Genomic DNA, 16,474 nt, shown 5'->3' with positions numbered 1-16,474 from the left:
GTTTGAAGGATAACATATACTTCTGTGAGTGTCAGCTTCGGCTACATGATAATTTCCAGTGATCATCATTTATGCTTCTGTAGTAATCTTCAGGGAAATTTGGAATGCTGTATAAGGAGGTAAAATGTGACCACCTTCCAACAAATAGGAGGGCCATTGTGCAGTGTTCAGTGTTAATTGTTTTTTACGGAGTTTCTTATGTCATTTGGTCTATATTCAGATATACTCAGAAATGGAAATTAGGTATCACATTGTCAATATTTAAGAGTGAAAAATTTATATTCATTATGTATGAAATGGATCTCAGCTCTCAGTATGTTGCAGAGTAATAAGGTACAGAGGAGAACATAGTTCACTGCCGTGTATACAGTAGATGCTGAAGAAGGTTAGTGAAATCTAATTGACAAAAAAAATGGAAACCATGAGAAAGATGTCATACTATACTCTATGACAATATGATCATTTCAGTAATTTTGCCTGAACAAACATTTCTTGATTCCATCCTCCCTAACAGTTTGGCTCCCTCTCCTACTCGCAGCTATATTTATTCATTCATTTACAAATATTTCCTGAGTTTCTAAAATGCATCAGTTACTATAGATAGAGCAACAACAACAACAAAAATGGTCCTTGGCCTCATGGAGCTAACTATTTAGTGACGGAGACAAGCACTAACTATACACATTCATAGACAGCTGTGTAATTTTGGCCAGTGCTCATTGTACTAATTATTCTATATTGTACTTGCTGCTTTATTTGATAGCATGCCTTTCTAGATGACCAGCTCCTAGAGTGTAGCCTAGGCCTAATATTTAAGAATATATTTATAATTAATTTTTAATAAAGTAATATATGCCCTCCAAAACTAGCTGATAACCAAAACAGAGAGCAAAATATTTACTGGAAGAACTTTGTCTAAAAGACAATTCTCAGAATTCTGCAGTATTTCCCAAGCTTCTAAATGTTTCTTTAAGTTAAAAAATAAAACGTAACTTAAGACTTTACACATCTGTGCTGCAAAAGATTTGGCACATATCTTAGAGCTTTTATATCTTATTTAAGTAGTGACTCATAGGCCAGTACTATTGTAGCATGACTGATGGGAGTCCTCCATCTCTTTACTATTTTCGTAATTGATGCAGTCATCCAAGCAGGGAGAAAGGGCGAAGACTGCCATCATCATTCCTGCTTTGTGGCACTGGGATGTGAAACGACTGTAGGAGTCTAAACTGATTCTAAGTCAGGCTGCACTCCATCACATTAATAATTTCTGCACAAATAAATGAAGTGCTGCTGAGAGACCACAGTAAATGAGAATGACAGCAAAGCCCAATGAAGGCGTTTGCCAGCTGCATGGAAACAAGGTAGTCTTTCATTCAAGAAATAGCACAAAACTAGGGCTTCTGTAGGAAATTTTAAAGTGGTGGAGTTAGACCTGGGTTTTGGGGACCTTTCAACTACTTAAAGGAAAGAAAAAAGAACCTCTTCAGCATATTTATCTGTTATTCTATCAGTGTGTGTGCATGTGTGTCTATTCCAGGCCAGGATTCCCTTTCTGGAGTCACAGGTTTGGTTTTGAGACCTGCTCTTCCATTCCCAGTCTGATATTGGATTAAATTTTCTTCTAGGAAAAGGAGAGCTCCTAGATTTTTTTCTACATTATTTGAAACATGCATAAATTAGTATCTGACACAGGGTAAATACTCAATAGGTGTTGCTATTATTATTATTTAGTAAACTTTAAACAGTGAAATCTCTTGCACTCTAAAGCACATTTCAAAGACATCCCTTCTGCACCTGAATATCTAATTTATTAGTTTTCTAATGAGTAACCTTTAGTTGTACATAATACTTAAAAGTTTTAAGATTGTATTATATATTGTAAAGTAAGAAAGGGCTTATACTTTTAGATCAGTTTCCAGATCAAGTAAAATCCAATACCCATCAATGCGTGGCCAAGATGGCCTTAACATTTCCCTCAGCTTGAAATAACTTAGGTTTCTTCCTGACTATAGATTCCAGATCTCCTTTTTCTTAGAAGATTTACTTTATAAAACTTGCAGTTGTAAATTCCTTTCTGCCCTATTGAGATGTAAATCTTCCAGCTTCTTGCCTGCCAGTTTTACAATCTAGAAATGGCTTTCTCAAGGTACTATTAGCTATCCTTTCAAAATGTAATCATCAACAAAGACAGCCCTCCATCTCTTAGTCTCTGTGGGAGGGTAGAAGCCTAACTTTGATAAACACCAATTAGCAAACACGGAAGGCCTGATCATACCAGCCAACTTCCCCTCTAATGTCTTCCAGTACTTTTCCACTGGCTCACCCCAGCACTTAAAAACTCTCCAGGTAGTAATCACTTTGCTTTGTGTATGTATATAAAAACATCAGTTGTATACCTTAAATTTACACAATAAAAAAGGAGCAGGGGAAAAAAAAGGAAAACAAACAAGCCAAAAAACTCTCCTTCCTTTTGTTTCAGTGGGAATTGAGTTCAATCTCTCTCCCCTATTGTAGTAGTCTTGAATAAGTCTTCCTGGCCTGTTTACCTCCACCTTTAGTAATTTTTCTTTGATGTGGATCATGGGCAATACTTAATGAAGCATTGTGTTACATTGCTTAGATCCCATGATCCACTTAAAACTCTTTCTCCATTAGCTTAAAAAAAGAAGGAAAGGCTCAAATTAAGATCCTACTCCTTGTGGTGCAATCAAGGAGATTAGTAGTGTTTCCTTCCAGCTGATTTTATTAACATTAAAGCTTTATGATAAATTATGAAGATCCCTAGAGCTAAACATCCAATTAAAATAACATAAGCATGGCAAGATGTCTATTATAATATTTTTCTTAGGAAAAAATATCCTAATTATAGTGCTGTGGACTTCTGCATGGGCACAACACTGCTGTGGGAATGGATGGTAATCACAGTGCTAAATAACAAGTAGGTATTTATAAGATAGTGCTAACAAAAATCAAGTAAAGCCTAATCTTTTTAAAGTCAAGTTTTCCGGAAATGAAGATACAAGGACTTGAGTCACTTTGATCTAATTACATTGATATATCCTTACTGGAGACTAAGTATAACTTACCTTTCTTTCTTATGTATAAAGTTGTCACCACAAAAAGAGTAATTTACATAACGGAAAAGGGTAAGTTTAATAAAATGATTTCATGAGACCCAGTAAGTGTCCTAGTGACTCACTGTCACCATAATAGCTTTGGTAAAAGAGTAAAGAACAATTTGGGTTTCAAGTCTGCACAGTTATCTTTTAAAATGGTTTAAATGGAGTTTTAAAATTTTTCTCTCTGAACAGATAAAATAAAATAAATGAATTATTTTTAATTCTATAAAGCAGATATAAGATGCTAAGGCAAAACTGCTGAGATTTGAGGAATAAAACTATAATTAGTACAATCAATGAGCTAAATAACTATATTTTATAAAGAAGCAAAGCTAAACACTCCAAATCTCACTAGGTTTTGGATTTGTTTTCATGGCTCTGTTTTCACTACTATTGCTCCTAATACTAATGGACATTTAAATTTATTTTACATACTGTTTACAGAATTGTTTAAAACAGATCAGTGTAATCAAAATATTCACGTGAATACCATCTCCAATTCTTTATATATTGTATGGCTAATCTCAATGGCATATTCATTGAGAAAATATTTCACAAAAAGGCAAATGACTCAGAATCATATTTCATATATGATTTATAGGGCCCTTAGCCATTTATAAGGAAAAAATAAATTTAGATCCATACCTACCTCATATCTTACACTAAATACAGTAAATACATATACATATATACCTGTATATGTGTTCAGATATATGTGTGCACATAGATATGTGCATGTATCTCAAATATATAAAAGATCTAAATCCTACTCGGACCCTCTCCTATAAGAAAAAAAAATACCATAAACTAATGGGAAAAGAATGTAGGTAAATATTTACCTTTTCTAAACATGGAGAAGTTCTTTTAAAGCAAAAACAAAACTATAAACAAGAAAATAAAGGACACGATAATGGATTTTAATAGTACATTAACATTAAAAGCTTCCTATATCAAAAGCAACAAAGATAAAATTAAAAGACAAATTGGGAAAGTGATTTTGCAATAATGATGTCATGTCAAGAGTTAGCCCTAATATATCATTATAAATCATTATTATATCATTGCTCTCCTTTAAGCCTCATTACTAATTCCAATCTATTTTACCGATCTCTTGAATCTTGCTTCTCTTCTTCATATCTTCTGGGCAACCATCCTGGTCCAAAATCCCAAGAACTTTGTCTGCAATAGCTACCGGTCTGCCTACATCTCATCTGGCCACTCTCCAATCAGTTCTCCATGATGCAACATGAGGCATCTTTCCAAGACGGGATGTAATCATATGACTCTCCCTTCTGTCAATGCCATCCACTGACCATGGAATAGATGACTGTAGAATAAAAAGCTCTTATGGTCTGGTCCTTGCATTCCTCTCCAGCTTTCTCTGCTACCTTTCACCCTCTATACTCCACCAATACTGGCTTCTTTCTCTCCTAGTGCCTTTGCATATGTCTTTTTTTTCTACTTAGGGTGTTCTCCCATCTGTCAATACCATTTCTTTTCCTATTTAACTCTTACTCAGCTACCTCATGGACACTTTCTCTGACTAAATCAGGACTGGTATATGTCTCCTGGTACTAGGTGCCATTTTTTCCTCACTATTTAATCAAATTATAATTTTACATTTGTTTATTGATCTAGATACATCTGGCTTCTTAACAAACTCGGGAATTTTCTGAAGGATAGGACTGTGTCTTTTTTTCACCATTCTATCTCCAGTGCCTGACATCCTGTAAATGGTGCAGGGCAGAGCTGTCTGAGAAGAGAGACTCAATGCACATCACATGCCTATGAATGGATTCTAGATTTTCAGAAAAGATGGAGTCTTATGGATCCAACCAGAATAAATCTGGTCTTTATGTTCCTACTTTAGAGCCATCTCAATACAGTGATATATTGAAAGAGGGGGAAATGAAATTGAATAAAACATATATATACTAAAACAAAGAAACAAATATAGTTTCCTCTCCTGACATCTCAATTCTCTACCTTGTACAACTGTTTTCCTTCCTGATATATAGACTTCTTACTCCTACAATGTTGTAGACTCCTCCTTTCTTCCTCTTCCCGCGTCCTAGTCAATCAATTTTATTTCTTTTTTACAACTGCTCCCTAATTATCCTGTTGTTTCTTCCCCTCTTATTACCTGGACCCTGGCTCAAGTTTGAATTATTACAAGTATCTTTATTATAGGGCATCGATATTAATCCTCAAGGAAGATATAGATCAAATGAAATACAGATAGAGAGTTTTTAACATTCTAAATCAGAGAGAGGCCCAGGAAAAACCAGAAGGACATATTAACAGGGCTCTGGAGCCCATTTTTCTCCTCCCTTCAATCACGGCAGTTCTGCTTTAAGCTGTTACATATTAGGTTTCCAAGTAGTCGTTCACTTGAAGAGAAAATTCTGTCAAATGGGAAAAATCGCTGTTATCACCTGAGTTTTCACCTTCTTGCATAGCTCTGTTAATCTGAATGCTACTCATTCCTTAAATCTTGCTAGATGCCTATCATATAGATGCATCCTCTGTCAACTCCAGGACACCCTGACTCTTCTTTGCAAGGTATCACAGAGCTCAATATATCACATAGTTTGGTGTTTACTATAATGCTTTACTTTCTAATTTATTCCTCTATCAATTAGACATTTATATGTTAGTTAGCTAGCTTAGTTATTATTTTCAATCCTCCCCCATCCACAGTTAAACTGTTAAGTTTATTTTGGCAAAGGTAATAACAATTTTTTCATTTCACTCACTGTGATTAGTATTGAGATAATTCAGTATGGCAAAATTTAATAAATGACCATACTTTTAATGAGGAAGAAAAAATAGGTTTTCTCGAGAAAAATAGATTTTTTTTTCCTCAGAGAATAATTTAGAAGAAATGGGAGCAACTCTTTGAAACCTCAAGTTAAGAAAGGTCCAGAAGTTGAAGGGAAAGTGTCATTAATAGTTGGGAGTGAATTCCATGGGTCTGGCATATGTCATTTGTGTAAAGAAATGAAATGTGAAGGCATCCTCTTTCTGCTTAAATGTCTTCTTTGCCAAAACAAACAATTACTATATATATGTCTATTAATTTCTCTAAAAAGAAGGAAAATTAACCAAGAATAAAATGTGCTTTATTCTTGGTTAATAAAATATGTTTCATTTCATTCTTATTTTAATCAATACTGTGTTTCTTTTGTTAAATAAAACTATGTATCTCACTAATAGCTTTATTCTACTCTTCTCATGTTTAACTTTTTTTAAGAATGATAACTAACTTAGACATTACTTTTGTGCCCCACATGTCTGCTTTCCATGTAATCTCTCCTTAAACTTTATTTATTTTCTTCATGGGTGGGGTAGGGCTGGGCATCACGAAGTGCATGATGAGTGAATTAAATCATTCACATCCCAGAGTGCTGATTTGCACAAGTTGCACTGATTGAAAAAGTGCTTGTTTGGTGACAAATAAACTTGGAGGTAATTGCAATTACACAGAGAAAGCACAATATTGCTACATTCACATCACCTGAGTTTAGATCTGAGTTGATTGCGGCTATGTAATTTATTCCATTTGCATTGTGCCAGCCACAGTACAATTGGTATGTGGCCTTTCTACCATCCTTCAAGATTCACTTCTTAGGGTGTCCTTCCTCACAGTTCTGCTCCAATGCTTCTAGTTGGAGAGAGCATAATGAGAAATAACATTTTTAAAAAAAAGATATGAGCCAGGTGTGGTGGCAGGCACCTGTAGTCCTAGCTACACAGGAGACTGAGGCGGGAGAATCTCTTGAGCCCAGAAGTTCCAGGCTGGAGTGAGCCATGATCATCCCACTGTACTCCATCCTGGGTGACAGAACAAGACCCCGTTTCTTAAATAAGTCAATAAATAAATAAATATAGGAATCTAGGGAGTTTGCTGTATGGCTTTACAGAAAGGAATATTAGGAAGCAGCTGATTTCATAAGGAAGGTCATTGTACTGAGAGTCCATCGACCAGCTTTGTGATAGTGGGCAAAGCACACTATTTGTCTATGTCAGTCTTCTCATTTTTTTAAATGGGGAGAAAAATCATTGCTTTTTCAAATGTACAATGCTTGTATGAAGGTCAAAAGAGGACAGTTATGTGAAAACATTAAAATATATTTATATATCATACATTATTTAAATGTGCAGTAGACACAAATGGATCTCTGGTTAAGTGTACATTTTTAAAATAAATATTCCAACAAATCGAGGAATGACTTTTTTATATCACAAAAATGTCAATAGGTAAACGGTTTATTGAGGGGTAAAATTAATTGACCAAATAATTAAATTAAAACACTATACAAGGATAGTCTTAACTTTTTCTTTCTTTCTTTCTTTTTTTTTTTTTTTTTTTTGAGACAGGGTCTCACTCTGGTTGCCCAGGCTGCAGTGAAATGGCACAATCTTGGCTCACTGCAGCCTCAAACTCCCAGGCTCAGGTGATTCTCCCACCTCAGCCTCCCTAGTAGCTTGAATTACAGGTGCACACCACCACATCTGACTAATTTTTTATATTTTCAGTAGAGACAGGGTTTCACTATGTTTCCCAGGCTAGTCTCGAACTCTTGGACTCAAGCAATCCACCAGCCTCAGCCTCCCAGAGTGCTAGGATTACAGGTGTGACCCACTGTACCTGGCCAGTTCTAAGTTTTCAACTATTTTTGAAGTGAAGAAGTCAAACATTAAAGTAGTGATAAGATAGAATAAACATTCTTTATTATAACAAGTTTATAATGGTTGTAGGACTGACTGATATACCTTGTAAAATAGCTATGCTAACATAAGAGCAAACTCTGAATAAATTGCAAAATGTAACCACAATTCTGAATGAGAATATAATTCCTTAAAGTTAATGTCTACATTAACTAAACATAATCCCTTTTTAAATAGAATGCAATTCCAGAAAGTATATTAACCTTTAAAACTTTAGAACTTGATAGGCTTTTCATAAAACTTATGGTGTTTGCACAAAACTGGTAAAAAAATCTTGAAAAGAAGGACATCCAATTTATTTGAGTAATGTAAGGGAGTGGTAATAGTACTAGGATAGATAAATAGATCAGTAGAATAGAACGAACAATCCAGAAAGAGCACTACACATTCCAGAAGTTTAAAAAATTAAAAGGTAACATTTCTAATAAGTGGTCAAAGGATTAATCATTCAACAAGTGCTATTAAAACAATTACCTATCGGCTGGTCGTGGTGGCTCACGCCTGTAATCCCAGCACTTTAGGAAGCAGAGGCGGGTGGATCATGAGGTCAGGAGATCGAGACCATCCTGGCTAACATGATGAAACCCAGTCTCAACTAAAAATACAAAAAATTAGATGGGCGTGGTGGTAGGTGCCTGTAGTCCCAGCTACCAGGGAGGCTGAGGCAGGAGAATGGCTTGAACCCGGGAGGTGGAGCTTGCAGTGAGCCGAGATCGCGCCACTGCACTCCAGCCTGGGCGACAAAGTGAGACTCCGTCTCAAAAAAAAAAAAATAAAAAAAAAAAAATAAATAAATAAATAAAAATGATCAGTATTTTACATCACTTTCTGGAGCCATTCCCTGGTATTCCCTCCAAAGGATTATCTGTAGTTGTAGTGAAACCCCTTTACTGGTCACACACCCCTCATCCTCCACTGAACCCTCATTTGGCAAGTAGGTAACACCATCTAAATTAGAACTGTCCTAAACCTAGAGTTAGGCAAAGAGTTGAAAGCAGCATAGGTCCCTTCTGGCTAATGTTAGGACATTGCATTTAATTGGGGAGAAAGACTCTTCCCCTCTGTGAGAATAAAAGAATCAAAATTCTTTGGCTCTGATGCAGAAAGCATCTCCAAATGCCGAGGACACCAGGAAAGCACAGAGTAGGTGCTCAGTAAACTGTTTAGTGGATTTCAAAGGAAATAAAGAAGTAATGGGCAAAGGGATGGATTTAAAAAGGGAAGGAGATAGGTCTCTGAGAAAGAAATGAGGTCCAAAGCATCAGAAAATGAATGGGCCTTTGATAGGAGAAAGGGCCATCCCATGTTATAGTAAGGGGGATTGAAAAGATAGTGGGCAAGGAGGAAAGCAGGACTGAGGATTTGGTAGTGAGGAGATGAGAAGCTTCCTATGTTATGATTTCTAAGTAAGGCAAGTATTGGGAGTCAGATGGACAAGGAACTTGCTTGTTCTCAATTTAACTCCGCTTGGTTGAAATGGGTAAATCTGTGGTTCCAATTTACATAATCTTTCTATGAATAAAAATAGAATGCAAATACTCAATCTGCTCCAGATTTAGATCCAAACTGGAATGCAAAATTTGACAGAAATCGTCTTCTCAGATGGAATAATCTTTAAATCGTGCTAACAGTCTCAAAACAGAGTATCTCCAGTAACATATGCTTTCTTTTTCTGTAACCTGGGTGACACCTTCAAACTCCATTCAAACCACTGTGTTGCCTTTGATTTTCTTCAAAAAAAAATGCTACTATTAGGGATTTTTAGTTAGAAATATTCTTTGTCACATTAGGTATGCACTTCTACCAAGAAACTGTTCCATGGTAAGTACTGTCAGTAACTGATTGCCTTGGATGCATTTCTTGGCTAATTTACAGTGATCACTGATGCTGATCCTTGCTCTTGCCCTTTAAATTATTACCAATATCCTAATCTCACCAATCATACCTCTAGTCATGTGTATCTAAGATAAGAATAATTGATATATGCTAATTTGCTTAAAGGTATTAGACTTAATTTGCATATTACAGAGAAAATGCAACGACTAGATATTGCATTCAAACTTTTACTTCACTTATTTATACAGCCTCAATTGGAAAAATGAAAAAAAGCAGTAAGAAGAGGCTGCACAATAAGTAAAAGAAAAGTGCTTAAAACTAAATTTAAAGTGATTCAAGTACTACATAAAACATGCTTTTAAAAATCTTAATGCAGAATTGCGGCCAGGTACAGTGGCTCAAGCCTGTAATCCCAGCACTTTGGGAAGCTAAAATAGGCAGATCCCTTGAGCCCAGGATTTTGAGACCAGCCTGGGCAACATGGTGAAACCCTGTCACTACAAAAAATAGAAAAAATAGCAGAGTGTGGTGGCGCACGCCTGTAGTCCTGGCTAGTTGGGAGGCTGGGGTGGGAGGATCACCTGAGCCCTGGGAGGTCCAGGCTACAGTGAGCCATGATTGTGCCACTGCACTCTAGCCTGGGCAACAGAGTAGATCCTGTCTCAAAAAAAAAAAAAAAAAAAAAGACAAATCTTAATGCAGAATTAAGAAATAAATGTTTTAATGTTTTTTAGTAAACCAAAATTCTGCTTGGTGCCATGGTTCACGCCTGTAATCCCAGCACTTTGGGAGGCTGAGGCAGGCAGATCGCTTGCACTCAGCAGTTCGAGACAGACTGGGCAACATGGTGAAACTGCGTCTCTACAAAAAATAGAAAAATTAGCAGGACGTGGTAGCACATGCCTGCAGTTCCAGCTACTTGGGAGGCTGAAGTGAAAAGATCGCCTGAGCCCTAGGAGGTCGAGGCTGCAGTGAGCTGTGATCATAGCACTGCACTCCAGCTTGGCCAACAGATGGAGATCCTGTCTCTAAAATAAATAAATAAACAAACAAATAAAAAAAATGGAAATTCCCTTGATGACAACTTTCTTTTTGTCTGTTCATACTTAAGTAATGCTTTTCAGAAACTTGCTGCAAAAACTCTAGAATAAGTTTTCAGCTCACCCATACTTTCCTTTATAAAAGGTCACCACTTAGAAAATTCATTCTCCCTTGACTAATGGCTGATCCTGACTTAGAATCAAAGGCTGTCCAGAGCATAATATTGGGCACTTTAAAACACATCTTGTCTAGACCCACATTTGATGATAAATGCCTTTTATCTGATCTCTTTAAACTGGGAAATTGACATTAAGTATTTGCCGGGTACCACTTGTTGGCTAAGAAGTACTCTAGGAAACTTAACGTAGGGTATAGCTAGATGTTACTTGCTTCTTTAAGAACAGGATACAGCACCTCTACCATTGTTCTTCATTCAGAGCAGTGCAATGGTAGAGTTGAAATTCAAACTCTGGCATGTCTGGCTTCAAAGGCATGCTCCTGCCACTCACCACACCAGCCAGACAACTTTGATTGTCAGAGGTGTTTGTGAACCAGAGCGACTCCATCTTGAATAGGGGCTGGATAAAATAAGGCTGAGACCTGCTGAACTGCATTCCCAGTGAGTTAGCCATTCTAAGTCACAGGATGAGATAGGAAATCAGCACAACATACATGTAACAAAGACCTTGCTGATAAAACAGGTTGCAGTAGAGAAGCTGGACGAAACCCATCAAAACCAAGATGGCAACAAGAGTGACCTCTGGTCGTCCCCACTGCTTTTAAAATGCAATTATAATGCAATAGCATGCTAAAAGACACATGACAATTTATAAATGCCATGACAACTTATAGATGCCATGGCAATTTATAGATGCCGTGGCAACATCCAGAAGTTACCCTATATGGTCTAAAAAGGGGAAAAATCCTCAGTTCTGGGAATTTCCCACCCCTTTCTTGGAAAACTCATGAATAATCCACCCCTTGTTTAGCATATAGTCAAGAAATAACCATAAAAATGGGCAACCAGTGGCGCATGCCACTGCTCAGTTATTTCTTTACTTTTTAAATAAACTTGCTTTCACTTTACCCTATGGATTCACCTCGAATTCTTTCTTGCTCGAAATCCAGGAACCCTCTTTTGGGGTCTGGATCGGGAGCCCTTTCAGGTGACATGATGATTGGGATTCAGTGCCTCTCTGTTCGGTTGACTCTTTTTTAGACAGATGTGACCCATAGAAAATTTTTCTCTACTAAACGAAAATCTTTGGTCCTTTAAATCTTAGCGACTGGTATTAATTCTAACATCTAACATTGCCAAACTCAGGTTTTATTCCTTCTTCCATATGACATGTCTTCATGTTATAGATAGCTTGGGTCACTTAGGTCTGCTGCTATGCAGCCTAAATAGTTCCTATTAGCACCCTAGTCTCTCTCCTTTAAATATGTTTCTACTGAATTGCAGTCCTATTAAGGTATAATAACCAAAAGTAAACACATAACAGCACTCCAGGTATGGCCTGAGTATCTGAGCACCAGATTTGGCTCATTGTTTTGGCCTTTTAAAAATACAGTAGATCATTATTCCCTTAACTAACATTTATTCTATTAATCTTCACAGGTTTTAAAACATGATGTGCTTGCTGTCTGTAAATTTACCTGAGTCATTGATAACAATGGGAGAGAGAAGTCAACTCTGTGTGGCTCTCTGGTCCAGACTGATACTTAACCTCAACATGTGCACATTTGGGGACCACAAGTAAGTAGTTCGTAAACTTGTGTTTGAATCAAAGCCTCACCTCAAACCAGCCAAGTGATTTAGAAAAGGAATTTAACCCCAGTTTCTTAATCTACAAATTAGGAATGACAGTATATCCTTACAGCTGCCATAACAATGATATTTGTAGATTCTAAGAGAGTCTTCACACAGAATAGATATTCAATAAAAAGTGTTTTCTTGCTGTTAAAAAAGTTTCCATACTGTTGTCATAGAGATGGGTGTCAAAAAGCCTGATCCTATGGTTTCAGCCAGTAGCTGTCTGTAAGATGTAGCTTGCTTGCCCATAGTCAATCTAGTCCATGTATTAATCAATTAAACCCCAGTAATTTGTTTATCTGCTGCTTAAGCAAAACCATCTATGTCTTTACTAATATTAAGCCCTCTTTGAGCACTGAGTGGAAGGGTGTTGATGCTCAGAGAGCATGATATGTTTGAACTCCCAGGCTGGTGCCACAAATCCATCCTTGGCTGCCTTTGACTTGTTATAGTCCTTCATTCAAATCACTCAGCCTTTGTCATTCCACTTTTCTGATCTGTAAAATGGTGATATTGACCCATCTCACAGGTATGCTGCGAAGAAATGCTAATTAATAGTAGACAAAACACTTTGAAAATGCAAATTGCTATTTAAATACTAAATGTGTGTATTCAACAGATGACAAGTGTACCTTGGCATTAAGGTGGCCTAGATGATGAAATGCCTTGCACAAAATGGGGGAAACCAAATAAACAGCCTGACACCTGCTCAAAATCCATACTCCTCTCTCATTCTATTTTGAAGCAACCAAATTTTTATGGATTTTGTGACTGCAAGTTAGAAATAAGCAGTAACTTGAACGTCTCTCTTTAAAAGGTGGAGGATATACTTTAAGTGACTGTCAGAAAAACAAGTAACTAAATTGCTCAGGGGAAAAAAATTACTCCAGGTAGTGTATACTATGATAAGAAATCTGACAGTTCTTTCTGTAAAAATTCAGTATTACTAATAAAGCTATAACTGCACTCCTCATACCATAAGATCTATTGATTTGGATTAGCAGATACAGCTGCTCTCAAATGCTAAACTGTCAGGTTAAGAAAATGTTTTGAGATTGCAAAATAGATTACAAATGTACAATGATTAAAAAACAAGACTACATAAGCCATCCTACCCTTCTACTGAGGCAGCTCTTACTAGAGCCGAACAGCTGCTTAATAGAATCTCACTAATGTATGCCACTCCAGGAACTATGCAGTGGCCTTCTTCAGCTTCTGAAAAAGAAGCTGCTAAATATTCCTCAATATGACTCTTTACCGACTCGTCCAGCTTAGGATCTCTCCCTTGCTTTGAGGATATAAAGAACATAATGCCTAAACCATCTGGAAACATTTTATTTGAGTTGTCTTTTTACCCCACGAGGAGCCTGTGGCAGGATTTGCATTTTCAAGGCTTTTCAATTTTAAACAGTTAATCATCTTAGAGGATAGGGATATGCAAAGCTGGCAGTGTTTCTTGGGAGACTTGATAGAAACTCAGTAGAGGAAAAGAAACGTTTCTAGTTTGAAGTGGAAGGTTGCATTAAACATGAAATAAACACTTCATTCCTGTGCTGCCAGACTCTAAAAATAGGGCCTTGAACAGATTTAAAGTACCATTCTATGCTTTCTCCAACAAAGCCACTAGCACTATTAGCCTGATTACTGCACAAAAAGAGGGCCAGATGGCTTGCCCTTCAACTGAAATCAAAGGGCCTTCTTTTATGTGCACATTTTTTCCCCAAATGGGGGCTTCCTAAATATGTAAAGGTCCCACGTTTACTATACAAAGAAAATCTGCTGGCCCATTACAAGCTATCTATCCAGAATCCAGCATTCAGTTTTCTTGGCATACTGAAGAATTAAAACCAAGGTTAACTCTAGGAAATGCCTCCTACAGACCTCATCTTCAGATTACAGTATGTCCCAGGGAGTAGCGGTCTACCACTTAACCAATACCAAATTCCTACTGAAGATTCAAACCTGTTGGAGTTGCTGTTCGAGGTGTCAATATGGTCATCATCGAAGAGTGTGTTAGAAATGAAGACTCTCAGGCCCCACCCCAAACCTAGTGAATCAGAAGCTGTAGTTTAACAAAATCCCCAGGTGATCTGGATGCAAGTTAAAGTTTTAGTGGTACAGGGTTTGCCAGTCTCTATCTAACACTCTACCTTCCTAGGAAGATCTTTAACTCCCTTAGTAGTTCTATTGTAATTATCTCACACTCCTAACAATAACATTAATTTCTCCTCTTACAATATAATATTGAATAGAAAAGAATTTCATCTGAGAGTCACACAGCAACAACATATAAACACCTCCATGTCAAAGTTAATTAACATATTACTATTAATGAACATCCACTATGTGCTACATAACCACCAGAATTGAAGAAGACACACTCTCAACCCAATGATTTAATAATGTCTAGACACATATGAATAATCGCAAATGAATAATCACAACGCTGGATGGATAGACACACAAAAACATGGCATTTAAGAAGGCACTGAGTCTTTCTGAATGGGAGAAAATAAGATCATGGGATGGTTCACTGAGATAGTTTAAGATAATATTGGATTAGCTATCATAATGTTTTGTCCTCCATTCCAAGACATGTGAAATTTAAATTAGCAAGTGGGACACACACATTCTAATACTCCAGAGGCCAGGGGCAAAGAGTTGAAGGAGATTAAGTGAAAAGCTATTTGTCTTATGTTAAAGGAAGAGCTATTCCTTAAATTCTTGTCTACTGGGACTGATGTTAGCATATCTTGTGATTTTTAAAAACAGCCAGGGCCAGACGCGGTGGCTCATGCCTGTAATCCCAGCACTTTGGGAGGCTGAGGTGGGTGGATCACCTGAGGTCAGGAGTTCAAGACCAGCCTGACCAATATGATGAAACCCTGTCTCTACTAAAAGTATGAAAATTAGCTGGGTGTGGTGGCGTGCACCTGTAGTCCCAGCTACTCAGAAGGCTGAGGCTGGAGAATCACTTGAAACTGAGAGGTGGAGGTTGCAGTGAGCCAAGATTGTGGCATTGCATCCAGCCTGGGCAACAGTGTGAGACTCTGTCTCAAACAAACAAACAAACAAACAAACAAAAACAGCCAGAAATCCAAATTTCTATGGTATGTGCAATTTCCTAATGTTTACGTAATGATTACAGAAAAAAAATAAAACAAACAAAAAAACGAAAAACAAAAACTAAATGAACAATGAACCAAGTAAATAAAACTAAGAGCTTGCCAAGAACCAATAGTTTGCAAACTCTAAACTCTAGCATTTTGACCCAACAGAGGCTTGGCAGCAGTGCTCACAATGGGGGCTCCACGATGATCAAGACCAGCTGTGGCACTTGCAGAGGTGACATCAGGAGGAAGCACAGTGTGATGCATGCTGAAGTAGAATCCTGCCTTCAAGGAGCTGTAAATTAAAAAGGGACTACCTGTTGGAGCAATGAAAAAAGGCTTCCCAGATTGGGGATTATACGCTGAGATTTAAAGGATCAAAGGTGAAAAAAATGGGAAGAGAGGTAATAGGAGAAGGTATTTATAAGCAGGTAAGATTCAACTTGCAAAACTTAAAGGCTGAGAGAGAATGATGTTTTGAGAAAACATCAGAGGTCAGAATGGCTAGGAGAAGGGTATACAAAGGCAACAAATTTATGTAGTTTTAAGCAGTTGGTGAATTATGTCGTATGTTTTTTTTTTCTCAAGAATGGTAATTTTCCAGGTTGGGGCAAGAAAAATAGGACTCTAAATTTTATTTTAGAGTCTTGCTGTGTTGCCCAGGTCCCCAGGCTAGAGTGCAGTAGTGTGATCTCTGCTCACTGCCTCACTGCAACCTCCGCCTTCCAGACTCAAGCAATTCTCGTGTCTCAGCCTCCCAAGTAGCCAGGACCACAGGTGTGCACCACCACACCCAGCTAATTTTTGTATTTTTAGTAGAG

General features: G+C 37.3%; 1 protein-coding gene across 4 annotated transcripts in view, besides 4 other annotated features; it reads right to left on the bottom strand.

Annotated features, from left to right (window-relative positions):
* CHSY3 (chondroitin sulfate synthase 3) overlaps positions 1–16,474 on the bottom strand; it is a 282,656-nt gene that overhangs the window by 17,099 nt on the left and 249,083 nt on the right. The gene's annotated exons all lie outside the window — the stretch shown is intronic.
* Positions 1,726–2,404: an enhancer, noted in NCBI's record as "OCT4-NANOG hESC enhancer chr5:129502825-129503503 (GRCh37/hg19 assembly coordinates)". NCBI's record gives its function as "activates a minimal SCP1, AML or CMV promoter by ChIP-STARR-seq in naive and primed H9 embryonic stem cells {active_cell/tissue: H9 hESC(naive and primed)}" and the evidence as "EXISTENCE:reporter gene assay evidence [ECO:0000049][PMID:30033119]".
* Positions 1,726–3,085: a biological region, named in NCBI's record as "OCT4-NANOG hESC enhancers GRCh37_chr5:129502144-129502824 and GRCh37_chr5:129502825-129503503".
* Positions 2,146–2,440: an enhancer, noted in NCBI's record as "tiled region #1157; HepG2 Activating non-DNase unmatched - State 24:Quies, and K562 Activating non-DNase unmatched - State 24:Quies". NCBI's record gives its function as "activates a minimal TATA promoter and a strong SV40 promoter by Sharpr-MPRA in HepG2 cells, with weaker activity in K562 cells {active_cell/tissue: HepG2 | K562}" and the evidence as "EXISTENCE:reporter gene assay evidence [ECO:0000049][PMID:27701403]".
* Positions 2,405–3,085: an enhancer, noted in NCBI's record as "OCT4-NANOG hESC enhancer chr5:129502144-129502824 (GRCh37/hg19 assembly coordinates)". NCBI's record gives its function as "activates a minimal SCP1, AML or CMV promoter by ChIP-STARR-seq in primed H9 embryonic stem cells {active_cell/tissue: H9 hESC(primed)}" and the evidence as "EXISTENCE:reporter gene assay evidence [ECO:0000049][PMID:30033119]".

The sequence above is a fragment of the Homo sapiens genome, chromosome 5, assembly GCF_000001405.40.
Source record: "Homo sapiens chromosome 5, GRCh38.p14 Primary Assembly".
NCBI lineage: Eukaryota > Metazoa > Chordata > Mammalia > Primates > Hominidae > Homo > Homo sapiens.
The sequence above is the reverse complement of the archived record's forward strand: the minus strand, read 5'-3'. Positions and strand labels throughout refer to the sequence as shown.